At 43.4% G+C, this 7,286-nt stretch overlaps 3 annotated features.

Annotated features, from left to right (window-relative positions):
• Positions 2,276-2,775: an enhancer, noted in NCBI's record as "H3K4me1 hESC enhancer chr18:58222605-58223104 (GRCh37/hg19 assembly coordinates)". NCBI's record gives its function as "activates a minimal SCP1, AML or CMV promoter by ChIP-STARR-seq in primed H9 embryonic stem cells {active_cell/tissue: H9 hESC(primed)}" and the evidence as "EXISTENCE:reporter gene assay evidence [ECO:0000049][PMID:30033119]".
• Positions 2,776-3,277: an enhancer, noted in NCBI's record as "H3K4me1 hESC enhancer chr18:58222103-58222604 (GRCh37/hg19 assembly coordinates)". NCBI's record gives its function as "activates a minimal SCP1, AML or CMV promoter by ChIP-STARR-seq in primed H9 embryonic stem cells {active_cell/tissue: H9 hESC(primed)}" and the evidence as "EXISTENCE:reporter gene assay evidence [ECO:0000049][PMID:30033119]".
• Positions 4,652-5,151: an enhancer, noted in NCBI's record as "H3K4me1 hESC enhancer chr18:58220229-58220728 (GRCh37/hg19 assembly coordinates)". NCBI's record gives its function as "activates a minimal SCP1, AML or CMV promoter by ChIP-STARR-seq in naive H9 embryonic stem cells {active_cell/tissue: H9 hESC(naive)}" and the evidence as "EXISTENCE:reporter gene assay evidence [ECO:0000049][PMID:30033119]".

The raw sequence follows: 7,286 nt of genomic DNA, 5'->3' as shown, positions 1-7,286 counted from the left end.
TCATCGATCTCTCAGGCTGTTCTCTGCTCACAATTATATCATGTACAAACAGACATAAATGCATTTTGTTTCTTTTAATTTCTCACTTTTTTGCAAAGGCTAGGGAATTCAGAGCAATATTGAGAAGTGGTAAGATTGAACATCCATGCTCTGGTAAGATAAAAAATTGCCCCCAGAGATGTTCACAGTCTAATCCCTAAATCCTGTGAACAACATGTCTTATATTCAAAAGAGACTTTGCAGGTATGATCAAGTTAAGGATTCTGAGATAGGAGATTTATCCTGGATTATCCAAGTGGGCCTGATTTAATCATAAGGTTCCCTATAAGAGAGAGACAGGAGGTCAGAGAAGCAGAAGGTGCTATGCTGCTCTTTGAAAATGAAGTAAGGGGTCATGCACCACAGGATGCAGACAGAATTTAAGAACTGAAAAAGGCAACTCAACAGACTCTCCCCAAGAGCCTTCGGAAGGAGCACCACCCCCAGACCCATTTTAGACTTCTGATTTCCTGGACTGTAAAATAATGGATTTGTATTGTTTTACATACCAAATTTGTGGTAACATATTAAAGAAGTGTTATGTTACAATACTCTTGCATTCTTTCTTAAGTAGAAAGCATTTATTTTTGATCATTAAGTAAAATGTTAGCTGTAGATATGTTTATAATTTAGTTTTAGCAGATAGCAAATATTCTCTTCCTAGCTTCTGGGAGTTATTAACATGAATGTGCATTACATTTTGTCAAATAATATTTTTTCCTACTGAGATGATCATGTGGATTTTTATTAATTTAATGAATTACATTGATTTTCAGTTAAACTGACTGCATTTTAGGATAAAATTCACTTGTCCGTGGTATTACCTTTTTGATATTTTATTGTATGTAATTTTTAAGTATATTCATAATAATGTCAGCATCACTCTTCATGTTTGATCTTGGTCTGTTGTTTACTTTTTTTCAAATATCTTTGTCTACTGTGTGTCTGGGTAATTTTGGCCTCATACAATCAGTTAGTGTTCATTCCTTCTCTTTTACTTTCTGAGAAAGGTATGTCACACTGGCATTATTTCATTCTCCCATGTTTGTTAGAATTCATGGGTGAAACCACTAAAGCTTAGAATTTTCTTACAATAAAATTTCTTTATTAGATACAGGGCTATTCAGATATTCTATGCCTCCTGAAGTAAATATTGATACCTTAGTAATTTCTTTTCTTTTTTTTTTTTTTTTTTTTTGAGTCAGGATCTCACTCTGTTGCCCAGGCTGGAGTGCAGTGGCACAATCAGCTCACTCACTGCAGACTCAAACTCCTGGACTGAAGTGATCCTCTTCTGCTTCACCATCCCAAGTAGCTGGGATTATAGGCATGTGCCACCATGCTTGACTAATTTTTTTATTTTTTTTTTAGAGACGGTGTCACAGTATCATTATAATGTCACTTTTCCAGCTCAAAACCTCTGTGGCCAGTGGCACCTTTGCTTGAGTTTTGCTCAGGCCTGCTGGGCTCCTTCTGCCCACTTGGCCCAGCAGGCTGCACTCAGCTTGTGCTACCAGCCCAGATCCCATGCCTGTCAAGGGTTAGCCAGGTGCAGAGCACTAAGGGGTGTGAGAGCAAGCACAGAGTCTAGCCACTGTGCACAGCCAGGTGTGCCAGCTGCGGTGGGACAGGCAGCTTCAGGTGCTGGCATAGGCACCAGCTCCTTGCAAGCTTCTGGCTGGACCAGGTGTACTGCAAGCAGCTTACACTGTGGGCACTGGGGAATGGAGTGGTGCCCAAAAGCTTGGAGATTCCAGAAACTGCAGGGCTCCAAAGAAGGTGTCACAGCCCTAGCTCAGGGAGCTCCTAGGTCTGTGCACCCCAAAGGGCTGCAGCTCTTCTCTTTCTCTATTCTCTCTCTTCTTTCTCTAGTCTGTTCTTCTCAGTGCCCACAACGTTGTGAGTGGGGTGGGTATTTCAGCCATTTTTGTTACAGCTCTTTCAGTCTTTCCATTCGGTAGGTCCTGAGTTCTTGTCCTGCATCCAGGAAGAATGCGGTATGTGAACAACTGGAGGATGAGCAAGGTGGAGAACAGCTTTATTGTGCAACAGAACAGCTATCAGGAGACTTAGAGTGGATAGCTCCTATCCAAAGGCAGGTCAGATAAAACAGTGTACAGCTCTCAGCAAGGAGGAGACCCTGAGTGGGTAGCTCCTTTCCATAGGCAGGTCATCCCAATGAGCTGACGAGACGTGAAGTGGGTAGCTCCTTCCTGTAGCTGGTAGTGCAAAGTCTGTGTGAGTCTGGCTGAGTCCAGCACTTTTTATGAGCTCAGAAAGGAGGAAGTGCATGCTGATTGGTCCATGGGCGGGTCCGGAAAAAGCACCATAAGTTCTCACTCCAGCTGTGGACTCTACCCAGAACTTGCAGCCAGGCCCCCAGGCTTCAGGCCACCCCTGGCTTGAAGTTGAGGTTTCACTGGGGACCTGCCCCTTTCTGCCCAGGAACTGTCTGCCTCCTGATATCAACATGCCATCCACGGAATCCAGGCTGTTTGTACCGAAGGGCACCTACAGGCCCTTGCCAGGCTGTCCCCACAACCAGACTACATCCCACACTCCTCAGTACCCAAAGTTTGGAGGGGATGAGACAGTGGTGGGGGCTGGTGTGTCAGCAATGCCACAAGCATGCACATACCCAGCCAGGTTGTGACAATGCCCAGCCTCAGCCACAATTTTGCTCTGAAATTGGAGTGACTGCCAGGAGTGGAGAGAAGGTAGAGAGCAGCAGCAGACACTTCTGAGCTTGTGAGGATAGGGGGTCTTCCCAGGCCCCCAAGAGTGCAGGTATGCCCAGGTCTGGAGCTGCAGCTGGGTGACTGCAGCTGCACCCAGGAGCGCAGGGCTCCTTCCACACCAACTTGTTAGGGGGCTGGGCTCCCACCTGTCCCCAGCTCCTTCTGGCTCCACAGAGCACAAAGCCCCAGCCACACCTCCCCCACTGCAGCTGGCATCCCCGCAGCAGCTGATCCAGACGGGCTGCCACCACTGTCAACAAGGTTTCACTATGTTGCCCTGGCTGGTCTGAAACTCCTGGGCTCAAGTGTTCCTCCTGCTATGGCCTTTCAGAGTGTTAGGATTACAGGTGTAATCCATTGCACCTGCCTGATAACAATAATTTTTACATTTCAAAAAAATTTTTCATCTCATCTAAGTTGTCACATTTACTGTCATAATTTTACATGATGTTTTCTTACCATTCCTTTCATATCTGTAAAATCTATAATTTCTCCATTTTTCCTTTTTTTTGAAATCTGCATATTTATTTTTGTCTTTATCCCAGGCTTGCCATAGGTTTATTAATTTTATTGAGTATTCCAAATAATCAGCCACTGACTTCTTTGATTTTCTCTGCTGTTCTGTGTTTTCTATTTCATTGATTTCTACTTTTTTCCTATTTATTTCCTTTGACTTTCTTTGAATTTAATTTGATCTTTATTGTAGCTCCTTTAGACTTTAATGTTAGACTCATTATTTCTGCTTAGGTTAAAAAATCTAAAAGTATTTTATTATTATTTTTGCTTTAACAGTCAATTGTTTTTTAAAAGCAACAGGAAAATGAGAAAATCATTTAGTTTTTAGATGCGTACTATTCTCAGTTTTCCTAATTCCATGTGTAAATCTAAACTTTTATCTGATATTAATTTGCTTCTGCCTAAACATTTGTAAAATTCAGTTTTTTTTAAACCTTTTGTTAAAGTCTAGGAAGTCTTTATTTCCTCTTCATTTTGATAGAGATTTTTGTGAAATATAGAATTATAAGTTGACAACTGTTTTTCTTCTGCACTTTAAAGATGGTGTTGCCATACATTCATATTTTCTGAGACATCACTGTCATTCTTTTATTTTTCTTTTGTATAAAATATGTCTTAATTTTCCTCTTGTTACTTTCAAGATATTTTCTTTATCATTAGTTTCAGTACACTGATGATGTGCCTTGTGCTTTATTCATGTGTGTGTGTTTGGGTATTCTTGCTAGGGGGTCATCAAACTTCTTGTGTGGATTTATTGCATTCAGTTATTATTTCTTCAAACATTTTATCTGTTGTACCATATCGTTATTATTTGAATGCAATCACACTTGTTAAAGAACACTTAAAGTACTCCCACGATTCACTGAGACTCATCATTTTTCAGTCTTTTATTCCTCCCTGTGGTTCATTTATTCAATGTCACTGATGTTTTTTTCCTTTGGCTTCTGTTTTGCTGTCATTCTAGTCAATAAAAATTTTATTTTAAATATTGCACTTCTGCTTCCAAAAATTTCAGTTGATCCATATAGCTTTCATTTTTCTACTCATTGTTATAGGATCACTAGGGTGTCAATTTTTCTAGCTGGAAACCTCTGTGGCCACAGTGCCTTTGCCTGAGTTCTTGTCCTGTGTCCAGGAAGAATGACGTACACAGACAAGTGAAGGGTGAAGAAGAAGAGTTTTATTTAGTCTTAGAATGGCTCAGAGGAGTGGGTAGCTCCTCTCTGTAGGCAGGTTCTCCTCTTGAGTGTTCAGCTCTCAGCAGGGAGGAGGCCCTGGAGAGGGTGGCTCCTCTCTACAGGCAAGTAATTCAGATGTCGCTGCAGGTCTCTGAAGCTCTCCACTGCAGCTGCTGCTGTCAGCAGAGAGGGTACTATTCTCTGCAGCTGCACATTCCATCTCCTCCAGCTATCAGGGGAGAGGGTACTCCAACAGTCTCTCTATCCTCTGCTCTCCTTATCCTCTGGCCATCCTCTGCCCTGCTCTGGCTGAGCCCAGGGCCTTTATGCACCTCAGAAGGGAGGAAGTGTGTGCAGATTGATCCATGGGCAGCCATAAGTGGGTCCAGAAGAGGTACCATGAGTTCCCACTCCAGTCCTTGGGACTGGAAGCCCAGCCCCAGTCTTCAGGCCCTCCCTGGCCTAAGGGTGGGGCCGTACTGGGGACTCTGCCCCCTTCTGCCCAGGACTCTGTCTGCCACCTGTTGCCATTCATGGCCCCGGGGCTTAGCCCCAACCCCACTCCGAAATCGGAGAGGATGCTGGGAGTGGAGAGAGGCCAGATAGTAGGATCCGATATGTAAGCCTGCAGGGACAGCAAGGGCCTTACTGGGGTGCCCGAAGGTGCAGGCTGCAGAGATGCCAGGGTCCTGCACCGGGGAGGACAGCCGCAGCTCCACCCAGGAGCTCCTACCCGGCCACCTTGGAAGATGCAGGGCTCCCACTTGTCCCCAGCTCCTGCCTGCTTCCTGGAGCAAGAGGCCCAGGTCTGCAGCTGAGGATGCCATGGCTGCAGCTGCACCCAGGAAGGCAGATCCTGCCTGTTCCCAGCTCCCCCAAGAGCACAGGGAGGCTCAGATCCACAGCTGTAATTTGGGCGGCTGTGGCCCCACCCAGGAAGGCAGGGCTCCTGCTTGCTGCATAGAGAAGGAAGCCTGGGTCTGCAGCTGCAGTTTGGGCAGCTGCATTGGCAGGGGAGCTCCTGTCCCAACTCAGAAGGGGCAGGGCTCCCAATGGCTCCATGGAGTGTGCAGCCCCAGCCGCGCTTTCCTGTTGCAGCTGTCATGATGGCAGCAGCCACTGCCATTGTCATCATCATTCACTCTTTTCTTAAAATACTTGAATTACTTAAATAGCTCCCTTAATAGACACATATGCATATCTTTCATTTCTGGGTCTATTTCTATTGACCTGTTTTTCTTTCAGCTTTGGGTTGTGTGTGTGTGTGTGTATATATATATAGAGAGAGAGAGAATATAATATATACAATATATATTTTAAAAATATTTATTTATATATTTTTTATTTATTTATATTTATTTATTTTATTTATTTATTTTTTTGAGACGGAGTCTTGCTCTTTCACCCTGGCTGGAGTGCAGTGGTGTGATCTCAGCTCACTGCAACCTCCGCCTCCCGGGTTCAAGCGATTCTCCTGCCTCAGCCTCCTGAGTAGCTGGGACTACAGGCGTGCCACCACACCCAGCTAATTTTTGTATTTTTAGTAGAGATGGGGTGTCACCATGTTGGTCAGGCTGGTCTTGAACTCCTGACCTTGTGATCTACCCACCTGGGCCTCCCAAAGTGCTGGTATTACAGGCATGAGCCACCACGCCCGGCCTGAGTTATATTTTTCTGTTTCCTAGGATGTCCAGTAATAATTGGATCCAAGATGTTCTGAATATTACATTTTTGTTTTCTTTACGGAATGTCTGGTTTTGTTTTTTTGGATCATTAATCTACTTGTGTATTAGTTTGATGCCTTTGGGATCTGTTTTTAAAGCTTTGGTAGGGCAGGTTTAGAGTAGCCATCGTTCTAAATATAATCAACACTATAACTAAATACTAAATGATCACTATGTATTCTCCACTTCAGCTGGTGGGACCTCAAATATTTCTCTACCCTGTGTGAGTTCTTTGTCTATCCTGGTGCAGTTTCAAGTTACGTATGTATGGCCTACTACTCCCAGAGAATTTATGCAGATTTCTTTATTTTTTTTTTCTGCTGAGCACCTCACTCTATCGTGAGACTCCTTGTCAAGATTTCTAGCTACCTCAGCTTCCCCAAACACTAATTTCCTTCTCTTTTATTTAGTGAAGTTTCTGAGCAATGTTTAAGTGCTTTCTTCCTATGTCTGCAATTCAGATCACCTCTAAGCAGGAAACCAAGCAAACCATAGGCTCACATTGCTTCCATTTTCTCCACAGTAATAGTCTGCACTTGCTTTTGTTAAATATGTATGTGGTTTCACATATTGTATCTTTACTTTTATTAATTTATATGTACAAGGTAAATAAAATATTTGATAATCTTTCATGGACAAAAGAATAAGTATTCAGGGTTAGATTTATACTTTAAAAAATTTTGAGAGTCATGTTATATTAGATTCCAATGGGAGAAATCTGATACTTTCACTTTCAGAGTATTTAATTAGTTCAACTCTTCAAAAAGCAGTAAATGAGACCGGGTGCCATGGCTCACGCCTGTAATCCCAGCACTTTGGGAGGCCAATGTGGGCACATCACAAGGTCAGGAGTTCAAGACCAGCTTGACCCATATGGTGAAACCCTGTGTCTACTAAAAATACAAAAATTAGCTGGGCATAGTGGCATGCACCTGTAGTCCCAGCTACTCTGGAGGTTGACACAGGAGAATCACTTGAACCTGGGAGTCGGAGGTTACAGTGAGCCGAGATCACACCACTGCACTCCAGCCTTGGAGACAGAGTGAGAGACTCCATGTCAAAAAAAAAAAAAAAAAAAAAAGGCAGTAAAT

The sequence above is a fragment of the Homo sapiens genome, chromosome 18 (assembly GCF_000001405.40).
Source record: "Homo sapiens chromosome 18, GRCh38.p14 Primary Assembly".
NCBI lineage: Eukaryota > Metazoa > Chordata > Mammalia > Primates > Hominidae > Homo > Homo sapiens.
The sequence above is the reverse complement of the archived record's forward strand: the minus strand, read 5'-3'. Positions and strand labels throughout refer to the sequence as shown.